This window comes from Homo sapiens, chromosome 6 (assembly GCF_000001405.40).
Source record: "Homo sapiens chromosome 6, GRCh38.p14 Primary Assembly".
NCBI classification, from domain to species: Eukaryota; Metazoa; Chordata; class Mammalia; order Primates; family Hominidae; genus Homo; species Homo sapiens.
This window is the reverse complement of record NC_000006.12, coordinates 156,696,366-156,723,448: the sequence shown is the minus strand read 5'-3', so window position 1 is coordinate 156,723,448 and position 27,083 is coordinate 156,696,366. Positions and strand designations below refer to the sequence as shown.

At 41.8% G+C, this 27,083-nt stretch overlaps 7 annotated features.

Annotated features, from left to right (window-relative positions):
* Window positions 1,612-2,160: an enhancer, noted in NCBI's record as "OCT4-NANOG hESC enhancer chr6:157042423-157042971 (GRCh37/hg19 assembly coordinates)". NCBI's record gives its function as "activates a minimal SCP1, AML or CMV promoter by ChIP-STARR-seq in naive H9 embryonic stem cells {active_cell/tissue: H9 hESC(naive)}" and the evidence as "EXISTENCE:reporter gene assay evidence [ECO:0000049][PMID:30033119]".
* Window positions 1,720-2,014: a silencer, noted in NCBI's record as "tiled region #478; K562 Repressive non-DNase unmatched - State 7:EnhWF". NCBI's record gives its function as "represses a minimal TATA promoter and a strong SV40 promoter by Sharpr-MPRA in K562 cells {active_cell/tissue: K562}" and the evidence as "EXISTENCE:reporter gene assay evidence [ECO:0000049][PMID:27701403]".
* Window positions 2,465-2,534: an enhancer, noted in NCBI's record as "active region_25315". NCBI's record gives its function as "activates an Ori minimal core promoter by ATAC-STARR-seq in GM12878 lymphoblastoid cells {active_cell/tissue: GM12878}" and the evidence as "EXISTENCE:reporter gene assay evidence [ECO:0000049][PMID:35858748]".
* Window positions 3,135-3,454: a silencer, noted in NCBI's record as "silent region_17707". NCBI's record gives its function as "represses an Ori minimal core promoter by ATAC-STARR-seq in GM12878 lymphoblastoid cells {active_cell/tissue: GM12878}" and the evidence as "EXISTENCE:reporter gene assay evidence [ECO:0000049][PMID:35858748]".
* Window positions 14,736-14,913: a silencer, noted in NCBI's record as "fragment chr6:157029670-157029847 (GRCh37/hg19 assembly coordinates)". NCBI's record gives its function as "represses an EF-1alpha promoter that drives an FKBP-Casp9 reporter gene in an ReSE screen in HepG2 liver carcinoma cells {active_cell/tissue: HepG2}" and the evidence as "EXISTENCE:reporter gene assay evidence [ECO:0000049][PMID:32094911]".
* Window positions 24,358-24,597: an enhancer, noted in NCBI's record as "active region_25314". NCBI's record gives its function as "activates an Ori minimal core promoter by ATAC-STARR-seq in GM12878 lymphoblastoid cells {active_cell/tissue: GM12878}" and the evidence as "EXISTENCE:reporter gene assay evidence [ECO:0000049][PMID:35858748]".
* Window positions 26,338-26,387: an enhancer, noted in NCBI's record as "active region_25313". NCBI's record gives its function as "activates an Ori minimal core promoter by ATAC-STARR-seq in GM12878 lymphoblastoid cells {active_cell/tissue: GM12878}" and the evidence as "EXISTENCE:reporter gene assay evidence [ECO:0000049][PMID:35858748]".

Genomic DNA, 27,083 nt, shown 5'->3' with positions numbered 1-27,083 from the left:
TTACCTGTAGAAAGTGGTTCACTTTCACTTTTTGTTATCTTCCGGAAGAAAGTCTCTGTTTTTTTAAATTCTAATTTCCAGTCCATTCAAAAAGAAGATGTGAACGAAATCAATATTCTCAATCTTTTTTTTTTTTTTTTGAGACGGAGTTTCGCTCTGTTGCCCAGGCTGGAGTGTAGTGGTGCAATCTTGGCTCACAGCAACCTCCGCCTCCCGGGTTCAAGTGATTCTTCTGCCTCAGCCTCCCAAGTAGCTGGGATTACAGGCACGCGCCACCATTCCCAGCTTTTTTTTTTTTTTTTTTTTTTTTTTTTTGTATTTTTAGTAGAGACGAAGTTTCACCATGTTGGCCAGGCTGGTCTCGAACTCCCAACCTCAGGTGATCCACCTGCCTTGGCCTCCCAAACTGCTGGGATTACAGCAGGCGTGAGCCACAGCGCCCAGCCTGTTGTTTTTTCTTTCTTTTTTTTTTTTTGAGACGGAGTCTCACTCTGTCGCCCAGGCTGGAGTGCAGTGCACAATCTCGGCTCACTGCAATTTCCGCCTCTCAGGTTCACGTGATTCTCCTGCCTCAGCCTTCTGAGTAGTTGAGACTACAGGTGTGTGCCACAGGCCCGGCTAATTTTTTTTTTTTTTTTTGTATTTTTAGTAGAGACGGGGTTTCACCGTGTTAGCCAGGATGGTCTCCATCTCCTGACATCGTGATCCGCCCACCTCGGCCTCCCAAAGTTCTGGGATTACAGGCGTGTTGGCCGCCTCGGCCAATAAGCTCACTCTTTAGGGGGCTGACCTCACCATAGTTTATCCTCCCACCTCCTTTTGTTGTGATGGTCATGCGTTTTATTGTTTGTCTTGGCCTTGGGAATCTGATTGGAGTGGGCAGATCTTCCAGAACAGAATTTTGGTGTAATTGTGGGGGCATCCCAGGGGTCTGGAATGAAGCAACCTTAAGAGAACTTCCTTCTGTTGCTCTACATTCCCGCCTGTGTCTCAGACCCTACATACAAAATCCCAGGGTCTCCGCATTGTTCCTGGGGAGACAGTCAGCACCACCTGGAAAATGACACCAAATGTCACTTCTGCAGCCAGAATTCAAAAGCATGTTAGTTGCTCCAGAGGCAGGGGATATGCAGGCAGGCAGTGTTCAGAGAAAAAAACAATAATTCCCCTCTGTTAATACAATGTAAAAATCTTAAAAACAACTATTTTGCTGGAAACGTAAAAACCTGAGAGCCAGGACAAAACGTGATTCCACATAAAGATGAGAGAAACAGAAAAGAAAGAATTAGGCCATTAGGCCGGGCGCGGTGGTCTATGCCTGTAATCCCAGCACTTTGGGAGGCCAATGTGGGTGAATCACTTGAGGTCAGGAGTTTGAGACCAGCCTGGCCAACATGGTGAAATCCCGTCTCTACTAAAAATACAAAAATTAGCCGGGCTTGGTGGCAGGCGCCTGTAATCACAGCTACTTGGGAGTCTGAGGCAGGAGAATCGCTTGAACCCGGGAGGCAGAGGTTGCAGTGAGCCGAGATGGTGCCGCTGCATTCCAGCCTGGGTGACAGAGCGAGACTCTGTCTCAGAAAAGAAAAGAAAAGAAAACAACAACAACAACAACAACAACAACAGTAAGAATTAATTGTTTTTTAAAAGATCAACTTAGATTTGTTCAGAATGTTCGTCTGACTACACAGTATTGTATCACTTTAATCAAGCATTAGCTTCTCTTCGAGTATCAGCTATCCCAAGAAGATGGGGGTGCAGGGAAGGCAGGGGTGGGGAGGTGTTGCATTCCAATCCTGCTGCCCAGAATTCGTGTCGACCCATTTCCTCATTCATGCGCTGGCCAGGAACACTCCGCTGGAACACTGTGAGTTCAGCAACTTGCATAACAAAGACAGGTCGACACCACCTAGCTCTGGAGGCAACCTTGCAGGATTGCTCCTGAGAGACGCTGGCATATGCCACAGAGGAGGAGAAAGTTCCACAAACAACCCCCGGATCTCTCCACCCAGGTCTCTCTACACCTGGTTTCTCAAGAGCAGATTGCTTAGCCAACCTTAACAATCCCAGAGGAACGCCAGGGCAAGAGGCTGGGTTCCCAGTACCTTTGCCCTAATTTATTGAGGGCTTTAAAAGTAGAAAATAAAACTTTGAACTCAACTCATCTGAAGCTTAATGATTCAGGTGTGCTACTTGCCTTCGGGGGCACCGGAGATCACTGAAGTTAAAGTGACAAAAAAAATTCTGTGAGCTGCAGAACAGAAAAGCGTGTCCAGACCCGACCCAGCTGCTTCTCCTAGCGTATTAACTTGGCAGGAGAAGCACGGAAGTCCCCTGTTCTGCCCTTGTCCTTTTCTAATGGATAGGATTTCCCCTGCTTACGGGCCTCTAATCCTCTCTCCTCTCTGGCCTTCCAGAGTGTGGAGAAAAAGTGCTCTGCTTCAAGAAGAGGGTAGAAAGATGAGGGTGAGAATGGTAGGAAAAGGAGGAAATGAAAATGGCTAGTGAGAAATACTTGGAGAGAAAAATAAAAGTCAAGGGTGAAGTCAGTTCTCATTTACACTTCATTGAAACTTAAGTTCAAATAGCTAGTCCTGCAATGAGCTCATCGACACCACTTTATACAAATATCATAGCCCACATGGGCCTTTTTCCTATCTTACTAGGGAGATATTCACAGCAACCCCATTCAGCTCTGTTAGGATCCACTGTGTTAATTTTTGTGGCAGTGTCCATGTGGTGCTTCTGCGCAGTAGGTGTTGAATGTAGTTCTGAAACTAAGATTCCACTATGACCGACTGCAAAGCAATGTAGTAGTATTTCAGCTTAGATGATATTTAAGGATAAATGTAGCCCTTTTAGTGACAGGGAAAGCTAGGCCTAAAAGGAAGGAGAGATCTTTGGCCTAGCCAAAGGGGAGGTGGGCTGCTGTCCGCACCCTCAAGCGAGAGAAGGTTCCAGGCTTTTCCAGAGTGACCTCTCTCTTCTTCCTGGGGAGGGCTCAGAGCAAGGGTTACCTTTGGATGATTTCTTCTCGCTGAATTCAGCTACTAAGCACTTTGCCTGGAAAGGAAGGGCACCTCTGAGCTATTCCTACCGACGCAGTGTGTGCACGTGTGTGTCTGTGTGCATGTGTGTGGGCGTGTGCATGTGCGTGTGTGTTGCTCCTGACAGGTCCTGAGTGCAGTGCAGAACCACGCAGCGCGCAGCGGGAGGCCTGCAGCCGCTGGGCGTTTTCCCAGGCCGGCCTGCGGCGCGGCCGGCCTCCTGGGCCGGTGCTGGGCGGCTGACACATGCACCAGTTTCGCTGGGTCGGCGCCTCCCCGGGGAGCGGGTGCGGGGCGGGAGAGGTGAGTTGAGCAACAGGGCCCGCCCCGCCCCCGTCCTGGGCCGGCTCTGCGCAGAGGAAGCGTCTGGAACGCCGGCACTGGTGTGTGGCTTTCCCAGGGCGTGTGGTGTGTAAACAAAATTGTTGTCAATCAGGTCGCGTCTTTGAAGGCTCCGAGGGAGCCTGTGAGTTCCAGAAGCCCCGCGGTGGATCCCTGTGTGGACGCAGAGGCTTTTTGCTGGGCGCACACGCACCCCCACCCCCGACAACGTAGATCTTTACTAATTTCAGGGTTTGTGACCTCTCACCTTTAGTCTTTAGTTTCTCTCCTCAGCCCTCCTTTCTGATGATCTTTACCGCCCTGTAACCCTACGTTTCCCAGTCGCCAGAGCTGCTGAGACCGCGTGGCCATGAGGTGGAATTTCCCAGCTTTTTAAACCGGGGCTTTTACCCCCAAGACTGTGGTAGATGGGTCACAGAAAGGACGAGAACGTTCCCAAACCCTCCAGCCTTTGAGACAGAGTGTGTGCTTTAAGAGACGTTAATGGCAGGGCGCGGTGGTTCATGCTTGTAATCCTAGCACTTTGGGAGGCCGAGGTGGGTGAATCACCTCAGGACAGGGGTTCGAGGCCAGCCTGGCCAACATGGCGAAACAACATGGCGAATTTTTAGTCTCTACTAAAAATACAAAAAATTAGCCAGGCCTGGTGGCGGGCACCTGTAATCCCAGCTACTCAGGAGGCTGAGGCAGGAGAATCGCCTGAACCCGGGAGGCGGAGCTCGCAGTGAGCCAAGATCGCACCACACTCCAGGCTGGAGTGTGGAGACAGAGGGAGACTCCGTCTCGGAAAAAAAAAAAAAAAAAAAAAAAGAGAAGTTGATACAAAAAAAAAAAAAACCCAAAAAACAAAAAAACAAAAAAAAAAAACAAAACCAGAGTGTGGATGCCTTGGAACACCCACCTGTGATCCTTGCGGAGCGGGGGTCTTCACCCTGGGGGGTGGACTCTTTGGGGACTGGGTCACCCCTTATTTCTCCGGAAGAGACAAATATATTTCACTGGGGATGAAATGGTTTCTGTACATAATTTAAATAGTGTTTTGGGGGTCCTAGGCATGCAAAATGCAGCTTGACTTGAAGGTGTAATTCTCCTTAAGGGAAAATGTGGAATGCGCCGAGTGTTTTCCTTACCTGCTTTTCAAGCTAGCTTGACTCTGTGTCACTAACGAAGCTGTTGAACCGCGTGCAGATGTGTAATCCAGCCCCTGGCGGAGTCGGCCACACTGTGCTGATTGGCTCTGCCAAGCCTGGAAGCTGGGCTGAGTCACCCAGGGGCTGCTCTAGCCGTGGATTTCCCTCTAAATTTAGAATATGTTGGTAGAATAAAATGACTACCACTTTTTACAGATTCAATGTCTTCACTAACTCCCTCTTTTAGACATATTTTTTTTTAGGAAGGGAAGTGTTTTGTCTTAATTTTTCCCTCTGATGGAGATACTTTGGGTTTTAAACAAAATTGAGTAATAATGACAATAAAATATTGTCATTAAAAATCATTTCTGTTTTTGGAGAAATTATATGTTCTGGTTTGGAAATCCTGTTTTTGCCAGAAATAAAAATGTAAAAATATTTTTCCAAATTATTCCTGAAGTTTATGATTGTACCTTCAACTAATTACATTCTCAGAGACACATTTAAATTAAATTTTAATTTTAAAATTTCATTATATGAGTACTACTTTTAAATTATGAAACATTTCAGGCATACAAAAACCTACAGAGAATTTTATAATAAACATATGTAGGCTGAGGTGGGAAGATCACTTGAGCCAGAGAGTTTGAAGCTGCCGTGAGCCAGCATTGTGCCACTGCACTCCAGCCTGGGCAACAGAATGAGACCTTCCCTCAAAAACAACCCAAAACAAACAAACAAACAAAAACCCATATGTAGTCCACTACATAGCCCAAGAGATAAGGCTTTACAGATGTAATCGAAGCCCCCACCACTGACGTTTCCTCCTTCCTAATCTCATTTTCCTTCTTCAAATTCCAGAGATAAATATTACCTTACACTGGGTGTTTATCGTTCCCAGGCATTAAAAGGTTTACTACATATGCACAGGCGTATACACATACACAGTACACCATAAAGTGTTAGTTTGCATTTCAAACAATTTTTATATGAACGATATCATACTGCACTTACATTTCTACAGTTGGCAGCTGTATCGCTCCAGCTATATCACAATATTTTTCTGATATATACACATTGATGACAGCAGCTCTGCTGCCGAAGCGTCCTTTGTCTAGAATGGCCATGCTTCTGTTGATGGATATAAGTTGTTTACATCTTTTTTTTTTTTCCGGACAGGGTCTTGCACTGTCATCCAAGCTGGAGTGCAGTGGCATGATCTTGACTCATTGCAGCCCCAACCTCCAGGGCTCAAGTTATTCTCCTACCTCAGCCTCCCAAGCAGCTGGGACCACAGGTGTGTGCCATTACACTAGGCTAATTATTTTTTATGTTTCTTAGGGAGGAGGTCTCATATGTTGTCCAGGCTGGTCTCAAACTCCTGGGCTTAGGCAATCCTCTGGCCTTGGCCTCCTGAATGTTGGGATTATAGGCATGAGCCACTGCGCCTGGCCTTGTTTCCACTTTTTCTCTATTATAAACCGTGTTGCTGTGAACCTTCTTGTATGTGTTGCATTGTGCATGTGTAAAGACTTTCATCCAGGAGTGGAAATGTTTCAGGATTTTAAGTATACAATCTACAACTTTATTAGATACTGCCAAATTGTTCTCCACAGTCACTAGTTTTACATTTTCACTGTAGAAACATAAGAAATACAGATTAGATGAGAAAAAAAAGGAAAAGTCACTCCCCATCTCTACATTCAGAGAAACCCACTTCTAACTACTTCAAAATCTTTTTGGTATATAAACTTCCAGGTTTTTCTGTGCCCCCCCCCCTACAGAATCCAGTATACCTTATATGTCTCTATATATGTAGATATAAATGCAGCATATCATATATGTACACATAAATACATTATATGTCATATGTATACATTCATATATAATATATACACAGAAACACATGTATATATGTGTGCATCTGTAGCTCTGTGTTATGTATATATTTATAATTATTAATGTTTGGGGATCCTATATTTTTAAATTTAATATAACATTAATGTATAATAATATAGTGAACATTTCATTGTGTCACTAAATATTCATTTAAAAATACAATTTTAATGGCTGCAAATGAGTTCTGTGTAAGAATATTTCTTTGGTTTATTACTATTCACCTATTAAATATCTAGGTAGTAATTTCTCACTCCTATACAAAGTGCTGTGATGAAGTTCAACCAAAGCTTTTTTTTTTTTTTTTTGAGACAGAATCTTGCTCTGTTGCCCAGGGTGGAATGCAGTGGCGCGATCTCAGCTCATTGCAATCTTTGCCTCCCAGGTTCAAGCGATTCTCCTGCCTCAGCCTACCGAGTAGCTGGGATTACAGGCGCATGCCGCCACACCCAGCTAATTTTCTTTCTTTCTTTTTTTTTTTTTGAGACCAGTCTCGCCCTGTCCGTGCAGTGGCGCAATCTCGGCTCACTGCAAGCTCCGCCTCCCGGGTTCACGCCATTCTCCTGCCTCAGCCTCCCGAGTAGCTGGGACTACGGGCGCCCGCCACCAAGCCCTGCTAATTTTTTGTATTTTAGTAGAGACGGGGTTTCACCGTGTTGCCCAAGCTGGTCCTGAACTCCCGAGCTCAGGCAATCTGCCCGCCTCGGCCTCCCAGAGTGCTGGGATTATAGGCGTGAGCCACCGCGCCCGGCCTGTACTTCACTTTTTTTGAGTCTCAATTTACATCATCTGCAGAATGGAACTAACGGAAGTAATAACTAACATTTATCGAAGGCTTATGAGAAAGCAGCAACTGCTTGGAGTACTTCACATGAATTATTTAATGCGACATCTCTGTCAAGTATATACCACTATTACTCCTATTCTATAGATGACTAAGCCGAGGTAGAGAGAGCTTCAATAAATTACCCAGATTACAATCAATAATTGGCACAGCCATGATTCAAACTTGCAGACTCTGCCCTCAGAGCCTGCCACTCCCTTTTAAAGACATTTTATCACATTTGCTTTCTCTGTTTCTCTCTCTTTCTCCTTGTCTCTCTCCACGTTTTTGTTTGTTTTTTGCTGAACCATTTAAAAGTTGTAGACATCTTGACATTTCACTCCTAAATACTTCAGAATTGTCACACAATAAAATTAACACTAATATCACCTAACCCTAACATACAGTCCAGTGTGTGTGTGTGTGTGTATGTGTGTGTACATGTCTCCCAGAAACAGAATACCTGGGATAAGGGGTGTGTGCACCACCTTTGCTAGGTAATACACATTTCTTTCCAACAAGCTTTGCCCATTTAGACACCTCCCCCCATACCAATTTGTATGAGAGTTTCTGTAGTTTTACATCCTCATCAACACTTGGTATTGTCAGACTACAAATTTTTGCTAATCTGATGGGGTGTGAAATGGTGTCTCATTGTGGCTTTAATTTGCACTTTCCTGATTATTTATGAGGTTGAACTTATGAGACTATTCTCTTTTCCCTCTTATATGAAATGCCTGTTCATTTCTTTTACCCATTAAAAAAAATGGTTTGCTTGTCTTGAAGGCTTTTCTTTTTAAGATGGAAACTGGCATGACGAATTCTTACTGTAACCTCTGGTTACTCAATGGCTTGGCATCACAAATAAATAAATGGTCCATGGAGAATGAAGCTGAAAATAGAGGAATGCTTTCCTAAAAGTGATTACTTGGAAATTTGGATTTCAAAGGTGGAAATGAAGCATACAGCTTCATGCTGAATAGCAAAATATACCAATACTTAAAAAATTTCACAAGTAGCAGAAATAGCAGCAGTGTTATATTTAAGTAAGAGAGATGAGTTGAATTCCGTGTCCTATTTCCCACCTGTCCTATTTCCAGGCGTTAAAATCTAAGTCATGAGGATGGTTGTAAGAATGAACTCCAAGTGCGTCTCCTGCCTTTGTACCTGTCCTTTAGACAGTGAGGGGACTTCAGTCATTAGAGCGGAAGGCGCTCCATTTTCACCAGTACTCAGCGCTGAAAATCAATAGTAGGATCGTTTAATAATGCTCCAAAGGCTTGAAAAGAGCCTGTTAAGAGAGGCTTAAGCCAAAATAAAGGAACTTCAGAGTGAAGTGTTCCTGTATTTGTTGTTATTTTCCTTTGACTTAAAGAGAACTATTTGTAGCCCTGTACTCCTGTGGCTAGAATAGAATTCAGCCAAGGCTGTTAATCCAGATTTTTCAGATAGGACAGAAGATAAGATATATCGCTTATTCATGTGGCGGTGTAAGGAAATTTGAAAGAAATAAAGTATGATGAATCGCTTTTCAGCATATAAATGTTAAGATTTGTACTTGAAAGTACAAATCACTTTACAGTGATTTATAGCATTTACTGTTGCTTAGCTAAGTGACTTTGGAAAATAGAACCGTTCTTACAGATGGGGTAAAATGCACTGTTTGCCACACTGTCTCTCATTAGCTGTTAAGTCTTTGATGCTGTTTCTACCATTTCAAATATAAGATCTGGAAACTGAAGAAGTTACTGTGCTTCATTGCTATTGGGTCTATCCAGGTAATAAACTCCCTTTAAAAATGACTTTACACTGTATCCTGATTGAGATGGGTATACAGTTTCATCAAAATTAACAGAATTGTATATTTAAAGTATGTACATTTTATAATATGTAAATTATACCTCAATAAAAAAAGAGTATTGGGGGAAAAAATGCCATTTCAGAATCTCCCTCTGGCTGGAATGGTTGAGATCATATAGTCTGGTTGTCCCCAAAGTACTCATGGTACCTTTCTGCAGTCCTGAAGGGTCTTATAGGACTGACCCAAGATATGTCTGGTGGTCTTGGTGTCTGGGTAAAAATCTTTGTCATCACTTTGAAAGAAGACAGAAAAGCAGAAGGTACATTTTTAGCTGCCATAAACTTAATAACAACCGGTAGCAAAATTTCCTACTGATAATTGATTTGAAAGACAAGTAATTCTATCCTCCTTTCTCTTGACTCTGGCCAAGGTAAGGAAGAGCCAATACCTGACGAAGAATTGTGGGAGAGGAAATGTAGTAGAAAGCTATCAAATTTATTCAAATTCTCTTTGCATCCACCTCTTTGCCTTAGTGAGAAATGACAGAGAACAAGTAGGTAAAAGTAGCAACGTGTAGGTAAAAGTAGTGAGTGATTTAGTTTTACTTTTGAGCTCTTCCTCTTCTTCCTCCCCTTCCTCCTCCCTCCTCCTTTGCCTCCTCCTCTGCCTCCTCCTCCTCCTCTTCAGAATACTGGCAAATGGTGGTGGGTGGAGGAACCTCCTTAGCTTGAGGCGTTTAGAATTGGCTCACGCCTTTAATCCTAGCACCTGGGAGGCTGAGGTGGGAGGATCATTGAGCCCAGGAGGTCGAGACCAGCCTGGGCAACATAGTGAGATGCCCGTCTCTACAAAACATTTTTAAAAAAATTACTGAGGTGTGGTGGCGTGCATCTGTAGTCCCAGCTACTCAGGAGGCCAAGGAGGGAGGATTTTTTGAGCCCAGGAGGTCTGTGCTGCAATGAGCCATGATCGTACTACTGCACTCTAGCCTTGGAGACAGACAGACAAAAAAAGAAAAGAAAAAAAGAATTGGAAGCATCCTGAGGTTGCTTTTACTTGTTCAACACCGTTTGCAGTTTTTTACTCCCAAATTTTCAGATCACTAAGTTTGAGAACCAGTGATCTAGTAGTGTACCCTTTTGCTTTCAGAAAGAGGTCTTTATTAAATTAGTCAAATTATTCTTATTTGTAAATATTTCAAGGACACAAGATTTTCTAAAATACATACACTAAACTCTGTCAAATATTAAAATATCCTAGAGTCACATAGTCGCCCTTCACTCTAATATCAATCTTTTTTTTTTTGAGACAAAGTCTCGCTCTGTCATCCAGGCTTGAGTGCAGTGGTGCGATCTCGGCTCACTACAACCTCCACCTCCCGGGTTCAAGCAATTCTCTGCCTCAGCCTCCCGAGTAGCTGGGATTATAGGTGCCCGCCACCACGCCCAGCTAATTTTTTGTATTTTTAGTAGAGATGGAGTTTCACTATGTTGGTCAGGCTGGTCTTGAACTCCTGACCTCATGATCCAGCCACCTCAGCCTCCCAAAGTGCTGGGGTTACAGGCGTGAGCCACCATGCCTGGCCTAGTATCAATCTTTTTTAGCAAATTAAATCCATTTTCTTTTCCAGTTAGGAGGTCAAAGCCAATACCAGTAACTGAAGACAAACCGTTTTTAAATCATCCTTCGTAGGTCTTATTTTGTACTTACTCATGCCTTATCTGTTTTTCTGTGCTTTTTAATTTGTTGAGGGGGCAGTTTTCTTGAGTTGCCTGTTTGTGTACAATTATTTGTGTTGGACTGAATGGCTCATCATTGATCTTCCTTCCTTCCTCCTCTTCCTCTTCCTCCTCCTTCTCTTTCTTCCTTTTTTTGGTTTCTCATTATTAAAAAAATGTGAAGGTACTCTGAAACCCCTTTGTACCTGTCTTCAATCTTCCTTCCCTGCAGGAGGGAGCCACTATCTTTCCCATCCATGTTTTTATATTTTTCTTTTCCTTTCCTTTTTTTTTTTTTTTTTTTGATACAGTGTCTTGCTTTGTTGCTCAGGCTGGAATGTGGTGGCACAATTTTGGCTCAGTGCAACCTCCTGGGCTCAAGAAATCCTCCTGCCTCAGCCTCCTGAGTAGCTAGGATCACAGGCATGCTCCACCGCACCCAGCTAATTTTGTTTATTTTTTGTAGAGATGAGGTCTCACTATGTTGGCCAGGCTGGTCTCAAACTCCTGGACTCAAGTGATCCTCCTGCCTCAGCCTCCCTAAGTACTGGAATTATAGGCATGAGCCACCATGCCTGGCCTGTTTTTATATTTTTCTTCATGTATCTGTCCATGAACAATATTTTGTATTGATTTATTTTTAAAAATATGTATGTATTCATATAACTTATTATGTATCACTCAACATATTTTTTAGGCTGTTAATTCAGGTTTATTTGGAATTGATTTAGATTTTGTATTTTTGGGTATTTTCCCATTCCTCTCATTCCTGCCTTATTGATATTGCCAATATCTCATTGTTATATTCTTTTATTCTTTTATTTTCCTTCTTTTCCCCTCTTTTGGTTAAGAAATTATACATTCTAATTCTATTCCTTTAATATTTATTTTAAAAAATTCTTAAAGAATGTAAAGTTAATTAGTATCTCTCTTCTCCTCCAGACTAATATAGGAAGCTTAGGAATTTTTCATTCAGATTTTCCTCTGCAGTCTTCCATGTTGTTGTTGGCTGGTACTCAGCATTATCTTATTTTTAAAGTCCTCTCAAGTTGGTTATCAGTATTTCTTATTGTTATTTGACAATATATGTACAAATTTCTTTATTCACCCTTGGATTTTGTCCTTGACTTCTTCTGTCTGGATTCTGTGGTTTTCCTTATTGAAGTAAACCCTTTAGTAGGTCATTTATTTTATTTTATTTTATTATTATTTTTGAGGTGGAGTCTCGCTCTGTTGCCCAGGCTAGAGTGCAGTGGCATGATCTCCACTCTGTTCACTGCAACCTCTGCCTCAGCCTCCTGTGTAGCTAGTATTACAGGCGAGCGCCACCATGCGCAGCTAATTTTTGTATTTTTAGTGGAGACGGGGTTTCGCCTTTTTGGCCAGGGTGGTCTCCAATGCCTGACCTCAGTTGATCTGCCCACCTCGGCCTCCCAAAGTGCTGGGATTACAGTCGCGAGCCACCGAGCCCAGCCTAGTAGCTCTTTTAGAAAGGGTTATTGTGTGGCTAACTCCCAAGATTGTTGATTTAAAATGTACTTGTTTCATTCTCAGTCCTGAATGAAGATTTAACTGGGTATGGAATGAGCGTGATCTAAGATGAGAATTATCTTCCTTTAGCCCCATGGGATCCAAAGATGCCATTCATTTCCTACAAACATCTATTGAGACTGATGACAAATTTGATGATGGTTTAATTGGATGTTTTTTTGCTTTTTGCTTTTAGGAGATTTGCTTTTGTCCTTTGTTAAGATTTTTCTTCTTATCATTGACATTCTGAAGTTTCATCATAGTGTAGCAAATTGTGACATTTTAATTTTTGATTTTTATACCTCTAGGGCCTTTGTACGCTTCTGAAATCTGAAGACTTGTTTATGTTTTTCTTTAGTTCTGAAAAATTCTCAGCTGTATTATGTAATGTACATAATTGTATGGGTTAGACTTTTATACAACTGGCAGCACAGCAGGTTTGTTTACACCAGCATCACCACACACACACACACACACACACACACGAGTAGTACATTGTGCTGCAATGTTATGACAGCTATGACTTCATTAGGCAATAGGAATATTTCAGCTCCATTATCATTATAATCTTATGAGACCACCATCATATATGCAGCTCATTGTTAACCGAAACGTCATTACTTGGCTCATGACTGTGTGTAAACTGTAATTTGAATTCTACAAAACTGGGATTAAGCTACATTGTCCCCTTGGCCAGTTCACTACAGAGCAGAATCTGGTATAAGGTAATTCATGTTTAGACCTAATCTAGAGAGATTATGTTACTAAAAGAACAAAGTAGATTCAAAATTTTGGGATGGTACCTATAAGGTAATGTTTCTGCATTTTTTCTGCATTCTGAGAAATTTATTGAAATCTATCTACTGATTTATGGATTCTTTCCTCACATTTCTCTTATCTGTTCATTACCCTGTTCATTGAGGTTTTCTTTTTCTTTTCTTTTCTTCTCTTTTTTTAAGACAGAGTCTCGCTCTGTCACCCAGGCTGGAGTTTGGTGGCGCAATCTTGGCTCATTGCAACCTCTGCCTCCTGGGTTCAAGCGATTCTCGTGCCTCAGCCTCCCGAGTAGCTGGGATTACAGGCGTGCATCAGTATGCTGGGCTAATTTTTGGATTTTTTGGTAGAGACAAAGTTTCACCAAGTTGGCCAGGCTTGCCTCGAACTCCTGACCTCAAGTGTTCTGCCCACCTCAGCCTCCCAGAGTGCTGGGATTACAAACGTGAGCCACTGCCCCTGGCCCTGTTCACTGAGTTTTTCATTTCAGTGACCATATTTTTCATGTATAGAGACTCAATTTTTTTTCAAAGTTGTTTGCTCTGTTTTTATATTATCGTTTCCTTTCGTTATAGTTTATATGCCTTTGTGTATACCTTTAGTCATGTTAGAGTTACTTCATAGTCTCTTTTAGAGTGTGCTTGCTTTTATATGCAGCTCTCTGAGGGCTGATTCTTCCATTTGCTGGGTCTGTTGACTCCACCTCATGGTAATTTATTTCTTTGTGGGCCTTGTAATTTTTGACTGTGAACTGCCCTTTATTATTTTTTTCTTTCCTAGGGGATGTGAAAGTGTTCTTGTGGAATGAGTGTACATTTTTACTGCAGGAGCTCTAGAAGTTTCTCACTTGATTTTTTTTTTGAGATGGAGTCTCGCTCTGTTGCCCAGGCTGGAGTGCAGTGGTGCGATCTTGGGTTACTGCAACCTCTGCCTCCTGGGTTCAAGCAATTCTCCCACCTCAGCCTCCCCAGTAGCTGGGATTACAGGTCCCCACCACCACGCCTGACTAATATTTGTATTTTTAATAGGGACAGGGTTTCACCATATTGGCCAGGCTGGTTTCGAACTCCTGACCTCAAGTGATCCACTTGCCTCCCAAAGTGCTGGGATTACAGGCGTGAGCCACCGTGCCTGGCCAAGTATTTCTTTACAGTAGTGCAAGAATGGCCTAATACACTTCCCATCTCCACTGCAGCCCTCATCTGGACTTATTTCAGTTGTGATTTCCTCTGGTTCATCCACCAATGGGATTCCGTCTGCCTTTGTGTCTTTCATACATTTTTCAAATTTTCTAATCGACTGTTGGCACCCTTTTGTGTTTAAGCACTCTCATGGAAGTATTATTTTTTGCGTATCATCATTTTAATGGGATTTTGGGGAGTAGGCTGAATAAATGCTTATATGCAATTTACAACCTCGAACCAGAAGCTCCCTATATGTGGTCATGCATCCTATTTGCTTAGCACTGTGCGTGGAACTAAGAAAGATACAAGAGAATACAGCACAAGATACAATCCTTAGTATCAGTGGTGTGCCACAGCCAGCTTGCACCAACTCACAAGAGCTAATTGTTAAAATATCAGGAGCTTTGAGATGATTGACTTTACTTTGATATCTTGAAATTGGCTGTGGGAGGAATGTTTATACCACTGAAATCAGCAAACACATCACTCTCCCCTCCTGGAGAGCTGGTTGTTAAACATTCATCAGCACACCACTGATCTTTACTCTTGAGCAAATGGCAGCATAGTCATAGTGTTAAGACAACGTATACTGGGCCAGGTGCAGTGGCTCACGCCTGTAATCCCAGCACTTGGGGACGCTGAGGCTGGCAGATCACTTGAGGTCAGGAGTTTGAGACCAGCCTGGCCAACATGGTAAAACCCTGTCTCTACTAAAAATACAAAAACTAGCCTGGCATGGTGGCGCATGCCTGTAATTCCAGCTACTCGGGAGGCTGAGGCAGAAGAGTCACTTGAACCCGGGAGGCAGAGGTTGCAGTGAGCCAAGATCATGCCACTGCACTCCAGCCTGGGTGACACAGCAAGCTCTGTCTCAAAAAACAAAACAAAAAACATATACTGAAGAAAAAGTAAAAGTGCAAGTAAGCTAGCCCTTGCATGCAAAGTAGAATAGAACAGATACCCCAATGGCTAAAACATTCAAGAGTTGGAGAAGTTTGGCAAGGTGGGAGCTGTGCAAATAGAGCACTTTTGCCCTTAGCAAGATAGAGGGTGGGCTCTGATGTCAGAATTGGAATTCCAGCTCTTTCACTTGCTGCTGAGTAATCTGGGAAAATGACTAAATTCCTCCAGTAAGCGTAACGACAGCCAACGTTTATTGAATCTTTATTATGGGCAGGCACTGTTCTAGGTGCTTTACATAAATTAACTTAATCTCATCATTTGCAAAATGTTGCTTACCTCACAGGTCTATTCTGAGTACTAAATGAGATAATTCATGTAAAGAGCATGCATAGCAAAACCTCCATAAAGTTAGTTTTTTACTGGCAATTTTCTTGTAGAAGGTAAAGCAATTTCAACATTAGAGTTTTCCTACTGGACCTTGAAAGATGGGTGACATTTGACTCGGTGAAGGGACTAGCAGAGGATATTTCAGACAAAGGAGAGATAGGTACCAAAGCACAGAGGGAAGGACAGAGCGGAATGTGGGGAGCTGGTTCTGATGCCAGCCCAGTGGAGGAGGAGGTAAAACGATTGAATGAATTAACGGGGCCAGATTGTGGAATGTTCTGTGGTCCTTATTTATTTATTTATTTTTATTTTTTAGAGACAGGGCCTTACTCTGTTGCCCAGGCTGGAAGGCTGGAGTGCAGTGGTGTGATCGTAATTCACTGCAGCCTTGAACTCCCAGGATCAAGCCATTCTCTCTCCTCAGCCCACTGGAACTACAGGCATGCACTACCACGCCCAGCTAATTTTTTTTTTTTTTTTTTTTTTTTTTTTTGTAGAGATGGGGTCTTGCTATGTTGCCAGGTCTTGCTATGTTGCCAGGCTGGTCTTAAACTCTTGGACTCAAGGGATGCTCCCACCTCAGCCTTCCAAAGTGCTGGGATTACAGTTGTGAGCCATTGCATGGGGCTTTGTTGTGTGTTCTAAACAGAACATTACATTTTATGTGCTGAAAATAGGGAGCCATTGTAAGTTTTCGAAAAGAGAAATGATGAAAGCAGGATTTTAGGGATAGGATTCTGGCAGGCTGGTGCTTGTGCAAAATGAATTGGAGAAGGGCAGGGGACAGAGACAGAGGCATGAGGCAGGAACAGTTTGAGGTGGCGGATGTGGGTGAGCCAGAAAAAGCCAGGTCTGGGCCAGGCGCGGTGGCTCACGCCTGTAATCCCAGCACTTTGGGAAGCCGAGGATCACTTGAGGTCAGGAGTTCAAGACCAGCCTGGCCAACATGGTGAAACCCTGTCTCTACTAAAAATACAAAATCTAGCCGGGCGTGGTGGTGCATACCTGTAGTCCCAGCTACTCAGGAGGCTGAGGCAGGAGAATAGCTTGGACCCAGGAGGTGGAGATTGCAGTGAGCCGAGATTGTGCCACTGTATTCCAGCCTGGGTGACAGAGTGAGACTCTGTCTCAAAAAGAAAAAAAAGAAAGAAAAGAAAAGAAAAAGCCATGTCTGCAAGATTGTTCAAAAGAGGGACTCATCCAACAAAGAATTCTGTAAAAAGACAAAAAGAGTCAGATTCTGTTATAAATGAATAAGCTAGAAATATGTAGCCACAATATTTGTAAGAGCAACCTGAACCAGAAATTAAGAAAAACCAGATGGGAGTATTCTTTCCCCTCCAAAAATAAAACTACTATAAATTGAAAGTAAGACTATGTACTTTTTTTTTTAATCAGTGGAAAGTTTTCTTTTTCTTACTTTCCTTGTTTTTTACATTGCGTATGGTTTCTTTTGTTTTTTTTTTTTTTTGAGACAGAGTCTCGCTCTGTCACCCAGCCTAGAGTGCAGTGGCATAATCTCGGCTCACCGCAACCTCTGACTCCCGGGTTCAAGCAATTCTCCTGCCTCAGCCTCCCCAGTATCTGGGATTACAGGCACCCCTCACCACGTCCGGCTAATTATTTGTATTTTTAGTAGAGTCGGGGTTTCACCATGTTGGCCAGGTTGGTCTCGAACTCCTGACCTCGAGTCAAAATGTTATTTCTGCTGGACTCTCTAACTTTACCTCTCACCTTTCTATCCCTCATTCTCTGTACCCTAATCATGCTATTCTCTCATGCTTTGAACATGCCACGCACCCTCTCTTTTCAGCATCCATGAACAAGCTGTTTCCTCTATCTGTTCTTTTGTCTGTCCTCCCTTCTCCCCATTTATTCTGCTATTTCTTCAAGTCTCAACTCAATCATCTCTTTATCAGAGAAATCTTTCCTGGATTCTCAGAGGCAGGTTCCTTTGTCTTACGCTTGCATAGAATGGTGGCCTTTTCCTTGTGAGTCCTTATCTGAGCTTTTAATGATCAATCCACTAGTGTGATTATGTGATAAATGTTTTCCCTGTCTCTGAGCTCCATGAGAATGGGAACCATGTCTGACTTTGCTCATCATTATATAGAGAGCATGCAGCACAATGCTTTAAACATAGTGGATCTTCAGTAAAAGTTGATTGAATGAATGAAAGAGAAGAATGTTGAAATGCCTAAAAGAACCATTGGAAGAATTGAGGCCCTTTGACTTGGAGAAGAGAATATTCATGTGGAACAGTGAAAAAGCTATGTATTTATGAAGGGCTTTCTTGGAAAATTGGGGGTAGATTTTTTTTTAATTCCTTCAGAGAGCATATTTAGGACCAAAGTTTAGAAGTTGGAGGTAATGGGGCCGGGCACGGTGACTCACGCCTGTACGCCTGCAATCCCAACACTTTGGGAGACCGAGACGGGTGGATCACCTGAGGTCAGGAGTTCAAGACAAACCTGGCCAACATGGTGAAACCCCATCTCTACTAAAAATACAAAAATTAGCTGGACGTGATGGCGGGCACCTGTAATCCCAGCTACTTGGGAGGCTGAGGCAGGAGAATCACTTGAACCCAGGAGGCGGAGGTTGCAGTGAGCCGAGACCATGCCATTGAACTCTAGCCTGTGCAACAAGAGTGAAACACTGTCTCAAAAAAAAAAAAAAAAAGAAGTTAGAGGTAATGGATCAAATTTTTGTTGACTGTAAGAATAAACTTTTCTGACAATGTGGACATCAATATTAGAAATGTTACATTCACATTTCAAATATTGATAGAAATATTCTATATCACGTGTATTTGCTGAGGCAAAGACTAGATGACCAGATGTAGACAATGTCAATGGACATTCTAGGTAGCAGCAGTAGAGGAAGGAAGGCATGATACTTGATCCCTTCAAACATCAAAGGGGTATAATTCTATTACAAAAAATAGAGATAGTAAAACAAGGAGACAAGAAAACACAAGGCATCAAATATGAGGCACTATAACTGTCTATAGAGTGGCCCAGCCACTAGGCGCCATACTGATGATGCTCCTCTCTTGGCTAGTGATTTTAAAACTTCTTACAAAAAGAATCATTAAATAGGTTATCTCCTAATCTATGCCTTCATCTATTAATGTAATTGTGAAAACTGAATATAGATATATCTCTTTTAGAGGGTTATGGGAGTAGGCAAAGTAGTTTATAAATATGAACAGCCTCAGAAACTAAGACCTCCAACACTATAGCATGTTATGTTAAACAGTGCTTAAGTAATGGTCAACATTTACATACACTACATGAAAACATAAATATTAGAGCCACTGTCTAATGCCACAGCATACATATATATTTCTCAAAAAAACTTTCCCTTTTTGCACTTTTATAAAAATAACGTGTGATTTCCTTTACGTGGTGAAAATGTAAAAATAATATGGATGAAGTGATTATATAATACCATAATATACTCAATAGTTGTAATCAACATTATAATAAGTATAAGACTATTTTTCACACTACCAGTTCAGGAGGAGAGTCACACTACATTGGAATAGCTAAAGGAGTTTTCTTGAAGGAGGGATGCTCCGATGAGTCCCTAGACAATGGGGTAGATTTTAATAGATGGATGGAGAGGAAGAAATGCTGTGAATAGGGCTATCTCATGTTCTAGATCTTCTGGGATAGTTTTGATTTCAAATATAATCCAGGTTATACAAGTATGGTCATAATTGTTAGAGTGGGTGCCTCTCTTCCGAGTTTGAAATATGGTCAGTAAGAACATTAACAAGTGCCTGGAAGCAGGAAGAAGATGGCCAAGCAACGAATCACGCAGAGCAGTGAGTATGTGCCTTCTCCCACCCCCCAGTCTCCCGCCATCCCTCCCTGTTATATTGTCCTTTCTTCCAATAATAAACCAATGTAACATCCTCCTGTCCCAGCGGTAGAAACATTTACAATTGCTGGAAATGTGATAGAATCAGAAATGTGCAACCAGTCTATGCAATCAGCTGCACAGATTGTGAAACAACAGTCGTGGTTCTGTTTGTTCCGAGACAGGATAAAAACTGCAAATCTTTTATAAGACAGAAACTGAAGCCTAAGAGAAGCCCCAGCAGCATTCCCTGTGCTGTGGTACCATTTGGCTTTTTGTAATCCCTCCCTCCTTCTCCCTCCTTGAGTCCCATTTTTTTTCAGCCAGTGTCTGCCCAGGGACACAGGGCACAGGTTTTGGAGGGGAGAGAAGTTTGGTGAGATTTGGCACACAAACACTGTAGGTGTCTTGTTTTTCTTTTTCTTTCTCATTGTTTTTTTTTTGAAACAGGATCTCTCTCTCTGTTGCCCAGTCTGGAGTGCAGTGGTGTGGTCATAGTTCACTGCAGCCTCTATCTCCTGGGATCAAGCAGTCCTCCCGCCTCAGCCTCCCAAGTAGCTGGGACTACAGGTGTGTGCTACCATAGCTGGCTAATTTTTAAAAATTACTTTTAGGCCAGGCACGGTGTCTCATGCCTGTAATCCCAGCACTTTGGGAGGCCGAGCTGGGAAGATCACTTGAGGTCAGGAGTGCGAGACCAGCCTGACCAACATGGTGAAACCCCATCTCTACTAAAAATACAAAATTAGCCGGGCATGGTGACGCATGCCTGTAATCCCAGTTGATTGGGAGGCTGAGGCAGAAGAATCACTTGAATCCAGGAGGTGGAGGTTGCAGTGAGCTGAGATCGTGCCATTGCACTCCAGCCTGGGCAATAAGAGTGAAACTCCGTCTCAAAAAAAAAAAAAATTACTTTTAGTAGAGTATTTGCTATGTTCCCCAGAAGATTGGTCTCCAACTTTTGGTTTCACATGATCCTCCTGCTTCGGCCTCCCAAAGTGCTGGGATTACAGGCATGAGCCACTGTGCCTGGTGGTCTTGTTTTTCTTTGCTGTTATAGTAGCAGGGCATAGAAATACCACAGAAAGAGGGAGGGTGGGACTCCCATAGAGCAGGAGAAACTGAAAGCAAATAGGGATTTCAATTTTTTGTTTCTCCAGATGAAGAATAAAATGCTTATGAACAAAGAAAAAGGTGCCTATAGAATACATAATAAATATGACATATTTAATAATATTAGCCCATTCAGATCATTCAGAGGAAGGATATGCTTAGAATGAGAAGGTTATTTCATTTTTAACTTTTCTTGGGTATCAGGTCCAAATTTCATAGTAATATCTGAAAAAATATCTGTACTTTTTATAAAACAGGAAAGTTTATGTGGAGCTACCTAAATGTTTGAATAGTAACGTAAGATTCATTGTGTTCATGTTGCTTTGCTTTTGTTGACTCCTACTTAAATTCGCATCATTCTACTATTTTGACCTAAGCAGTCTTGCTTCGATTAAGAAAATTCAGTGTCTGGCATCTACATGGTAAAATCACAGCAAGAAATTGGAACTCTAGAGATTGGAACTGTAGCCACGACAGGGGGTGCCAACTCCTGTGGTCCCCCGACACCACAGAATACCATGAGTGGAACTTTATCCACAAACATATATTTCCCTCCCAGTGTTAGGATGTTTCATCTCCCTCAGGCCTCCCTTTTAGAATTTCCTAGATTCCTGAAGTCCTCCTAAGTCTGCAATATTATCACTACATATATATCAAATTAAAATAAAGATCTGTGTAAAAGATAAAAGTAGCTTTTCTCTCTCTCTCTTCTGTTGCTGCTGTTTCTTTTCAGTTGATTCAGCTGTCAACTTCAGTCAGGCGCAGCTCTGAACACGTGGTCATATAATTCATTAGCAGTTAGAAAGGGGCTCCACTCAGCCCTGAAGACATTCATGCGAACAGCTTTTGGAAAAATGTTTAATAAACGTCTTCTAGCATTGGTCTGTGCTCTTAGAAAGACCAACCTGTAGGAAACTAATACATACAGCTAATGTCTTAATAGATAAATACACTTATTAGGCATATTTAATTTTATGTTTGACTTAGTACCCCCAAAAATGCTGTTTAAGTTGGTAAGAAAGTCAGATTCACCAAAGCAGAAGGGAAATGGGATGCATTTGGTCCCAGTAGTACTGGCTTTGGGTGAGTGATTTTGTATTGCTTTTGGATGAATTGTGGAAGTTAGTCGTTCTCCCAGTCACCTCTCTAATTTGATCATGAAGTCAAATGATATGAAGAAAGCGTTATAGAGATTGGACTAGTTCAAACAGTGAACACAGTCAATATAACTGGTGGAAATGATATTTTAGTGTAAACTCATGTGGCAAAGCTTGGCCTAAACGGAGAACATTTGTTGTTTCTATTTAGAAACATCAGACTCAACAGTCTAGACAATACATTTTGATTTATTACTCACCTTTTTACTACCTTTTTCACTTAGTTAATCAAAGTATATATTCAAAAACATTTGAGTGCCTGTATTGTGCCAGACAATATTTATGGTTACTCAGTCTTCTTATTTTCTTTCTTTCTTTTTTCTTTTTTTTTTGAGATGGGCTGGAGTGCCATAGTGATGCGATCTGGGCTCACTGCAACCTCTGCCTCCCAGGTTCAAGCGATTCTCCCGCCTCAGCCTCCGGAGTAGCTGGGATTACAGGCATGCGCCACCACACCCGGCTGATTTCTTTGTATTTTTAGTAGAGGCAGCATTTCGCCATATTGGCTAGGCTGGTCTCACTCCTGACCTCAAGTGATCCGCTCGCCTCGGCCTCCCAAAGTGTTGGGATTACAGGCATGAGCCACTGTGCCCAGCCAATCTTCTCATTTTCTAACTCATCTGTTTCTCATTCTCTTCTTCCTCCTCCTCTTCCTTTTTCTTCTTTCTTTAAAGCCTCAAGTTTTCCTCCTCAGATTTGTCTTGATTTTTAAAGTTTTCCTTTCATCTCTTGGATGTGGAATTTTCCCATAAAAATCTATTGTTCCCTTGTTTCATCCCTTTTGGAAAGGAATATCCTTCAACTGGAAAAGTGAAACATATCCACCAATTTTAAACGTTAAAAATAACTGTGCAAATATATAACTATGTTTTATCTTCAATTATTATGAAATTATTAACTCGGTCATTGATTTGTTTATTTGGCATGAGACCATGCTGTTCAGGGAATTCCTGCCCATTTCGAGAACCATCTTTCTTGCATTTCTTACTTAATGGGACTAAGCAACTTAGCTACAACTGAAATAATTTTAGCAAATATGAAATTCTACAAAAAAGCATGGCCAACAGAAAGCCTTCATTCACTGTGTTTATGTTGGTACTGATCTTCACGGCATGCTGTTAACTCAACATGAAGCTATGCTTTTTAAAACAATTCAAGTTCAAGGCCATCCCATTTATAACCAGTCATGTTCCAGGCCTATAAAGCATTTGCAATAACAATCCAAACTGGCATATAAGTTAAAGCTCACCCTAGGCAGCTTAAATTTACACGATTAGCCTGGGACTTGCTCATCCTGTAGCATCGGGAAGCCCGACCTCATGATCAAGTGCAATTCACATCTCACAATTCTAGCAATCGATGTACATGGATACACCATTATATTATTATTAAATCCAATTGCTTTGCAATTAACCCAATATGACACCCATACAAATGATTCAAATAAAGAGCCTCACATTTCACAGGGGACAATCAATACAGTGAAATCACAGCTACTGACAATGCCAGCAATTTGGCTTGTTACTTTAGTGCTACATTTTTCTCAGGTTGACACTTCTATTCCCGCTTCTGAATTACAGCTACCATAACTTTCAACTATTGGCAATGCCCACGCCTCACAAAAGCAGAATATTCAACCATGCTTGGCCATTCCTAACCTGTTAGCTGAGTCATGAAAAGTTACACCCAGCCTAAGACGTGCTAAATCATAATTTTTAAAAATTTTCTTTCTTTCCTCCCAAAATGAAATTTGGACTTCTTTTTCTCCAGGAAAAGCTCCTTAATGATGGAAAAGAAAATTATGAGACTTATCAATAGATTAAATAAGTTCTTAGGAAAAATGATTCTTGCCCCTCCCCTTGCATAAAACTCTTACAAGGAGATGCTTGAAAGCAAAACCAATCACAACAGTATCTTTCCCAATTACTATTATTGTTCTTCTGTAGCTTTATCATCTCTATTTTAATTAAGTGAAAGCACTTTACAGTTATAGCCTGATCAAAAGCAACCTTTTAAAAACATTACAACCTTCATTTTATGTCACCCTCTTTTGGCAGATTTTGCCAGTGTATGTGTTTGTCAGACAAGGTGGCTTTTAGCAGCATTTCCCTTCAGCCATTTCTACAGAGTTGGGTGCTGACATTCAATAGATATTTATTGACAGACTATTTGAGCGCTACTTTGTTAAGACCCCATAACTCCTTATTTCAAGTTGACTGAACTTGACCTTATGGAGCATTTAAGACAGGCACTGACCAAAAAATGTATCTTTTCTGTGTCTCTTTCTATATTGTTTCCAAACAGAGACTGGTTGAGTCAGATATGTTTCTATGAGGCCATTTCCATCTACTAAATGGGGGGAATAGAACATTAAGTATGCAGTAAAATGCCTCTGTTTTTTAACATACAGTGTAGACGATTGAAAATAATGACTTACTTAATACGCTAATAGAGTCTCCGTGAATCATACTGTATACATAACGGTGATGAAAATGTTCAGGTTTGAAATTTCTCCCTTGCCAGAGAGGAAACCATGGGGGTGAGTCATGGTTTTAGTGATGACTGGCCTGGGGAAGTGAAATTGGAAAGCCACAGGTTAAAAAAGGAGTGAGGAGTGATTCCTTAACAGGAGTGCCATAGTCATAAACTCCAAGAAGGCAAGAGACAGTTCCTTATGCTGCTCACACCTAGGCAGGAACCTGCAGAAGAAGAGCTCCTGGCGGTTCACCTGCAGGAGAGAAATCCTGAAAGCCCAGGAAACCAAACAACATTTAAAGTCACCTATGGATTGGGAAAAGAAACAGGACTTCTTGCTGGGGGAAGAGCGATAAATGACTGCCTGTAAAGGGGAACACAACTGAATGCAGTCACTCAAGTGAACGAAATTCATTTAAGAGCAATTGGATTAGAGATGGAGATTTACATGGATGACTTTAAAGAAGAGAAGTGTGCAAGAGACAGGAAAGATGCACATCAGTCATTTGCTACAAAACTGTAAACAGCATTGTTAAGTGGGAAAATGGGCCACTAAATTGTAATTAAACTATGACGATAATGTTGTAAAATGTGTGCTATGGGCAAAGACTGATTGGGATTACATAGAAATTAACCTAGTTACTGTGCTCTTGGTAAAGTATTGATGTTATTTGTTTTCCATTGTTAAATTTTGTGGTGTGAACATGAGGGTGGGGGTGGGGAGAGACTATATATAGAGAGTTTAGTGTTAAGACCATGGCACGAGGAACCAGGAAGCCGTCTTTAAGTTTCACACGGCCACGCCAGCTGCGATTGTAACCTCTCTTGAGTCTCAGTGTCCATATATAGAAAGTGAGAATAAGAACACCTGCCCTGCACTAATGGGGTAGTGAAAGCACTTTGTAAATTTGAAAGTATTGTAGGAGATTTTTTTAAGGAATGAAGGTCTGGGTGCTATCTAGATGAGAGACTTAGGAAGTCCAGACCTCAAAAAGTTACACTGACTCTCTTTTCTTAGCAGTCACTGCGGAAGCTGGAGAACATGTGTTATCTCATTTAATTTTACAGTAAAACAAATTACAAACACTTATTGGGCATCTACTAATTGTTTCACTAACCAGGTTTTCCAATACCATTTATAGAACAATCTTCTTGTCCTCCATTGATCTGAAATGCTCCTTTTATCACACACCTGAGTTTATATTTGAACTGCTGTTTTACTGCTCACCGTTCTGTTTTAATTGTTGTAGATTGGTGACTTTTTTAATCTGGTAGGGTAACTTTTTATAGCTGTTGTTTTTTAAAAATAGGATCCAGGGCAGAGAGGGAGCTATTAAGGAAGATAACCAAGCTTGGACTCAAGGGAGTAACTAACCAGCCCAAAGGCACGTTGCAGTGTAGCAGATTCTTAGAAGACATTCTGGAATCAGAGGAAGCTTACTTCAAATCCTGGTGTATGATTTATCATCCACATGACCCAACGTATATCACTTAATTTCTTTAATCTCTTTCCTCATCTGCAAATTGAAGACAATATCAGCTACCTTGAAGTGTCCTGATGTGGATTAAAGTACAAAATGGATGTCAGTTTCTCTAGGACCATGCCTGGCACCCAGCTGTCACATCCTTCCCTTCCTTTGAAAGCGTTCCTACTGGTAGGGACATGGCTTCCCTTTCTTAGGTTTTCTTACATCTGCAAAAAAGGAAGAAGAACAAAGAATGCTCACAGCATTCTGCAGGCTTGTTTCACTGAACGGAGATAGATACATGGTAACTGTCTAGGGGATTTCAGCTGTGCATGTGTATTCTCTCCTCCCTGAACATGGCAGAGCAGAAGATACTGCATGCCATAGAATTCATGAAGGGCTCTGTCATTATCCAGCCATGAACATGGGATGTCAAACCAGGTAGGAGTGCTTGGCGGTACATTCCCCTTGAGGGGAAGTGAAAGGGGAAATTGCCCTGGGCCGTGAGAACTGGCTAGGGAACAGGTGCAGAGTGATGGGGCCTCTCTTCTCTGCCAAGTTTGGACTTTAAGTGATTTTGGGGGCAGAACTCACATTGATGACCTCCCTTTTTGTAGTTTCTTAGAGATTATTGAGTAATATTTAAAAATATTTGATGATTAGAGTGAAGACACGTCACATTGGGCCCCAGAGCAATCTTCCACCTCCAGGAGTGGCCAGGATGACTTTGGAGGGACACCTCTGTCATCTTTTCTCCCTAAGTGATGGATGGATAGAGTCTGATCATAATTAATTTTAATAGAGACCTGATGTGCTGTGAGAGAATCTTGGCCATTCAAATGAAATAGAACTGATAGCCAGCCACGAAAAAAATAATCTCAGTTCTATCTCACCATTGGCTTTAGAACATATTAAGTCTAGTTAAGAAGTATTTATGGAGGGCTTCTGTGCCTGGTGCTATAGAAAGGGATACAAAAAAAGGACCTTGTCTGACATTCTCTGTCTGAATTGGACAGACAAGAAATATAATAAAATAATAATGTACTATCTGTGAGGCCCTGACATATGGTATACACTGAGTTATATGCTCAGTGTGCATTAGCTCTAATTCATTAATTCTTTCCACAAATGTTTCTGGAGTGCCTAGTATGTGCCAGGGATTCTAGTTGCTGGGAGAACCATAGGGCAGAAGGCAGAGCAAGTCCCTGCCTTTGGGAAACATTCTAGTACTTATAAGCAAATGAGTATGCACGATCATTTCAGGGAATGATCAATGCTATAAAGAGCCAGGGGCAGTGGCTCATGCCTGTAATCCCCGCACTTTGGGAGACCGAGGTGGGCGGATCACGAGGTCGGGAAATTGAGACCATCCTGGCCAACGTGGTGAAACCTGGTCTCCACTAAAAAAAAAAATAAAAATAAAAAATAAAAAAAAAATTAGCCAAGCGTGGTGGCGTGTGCCTGTAATCC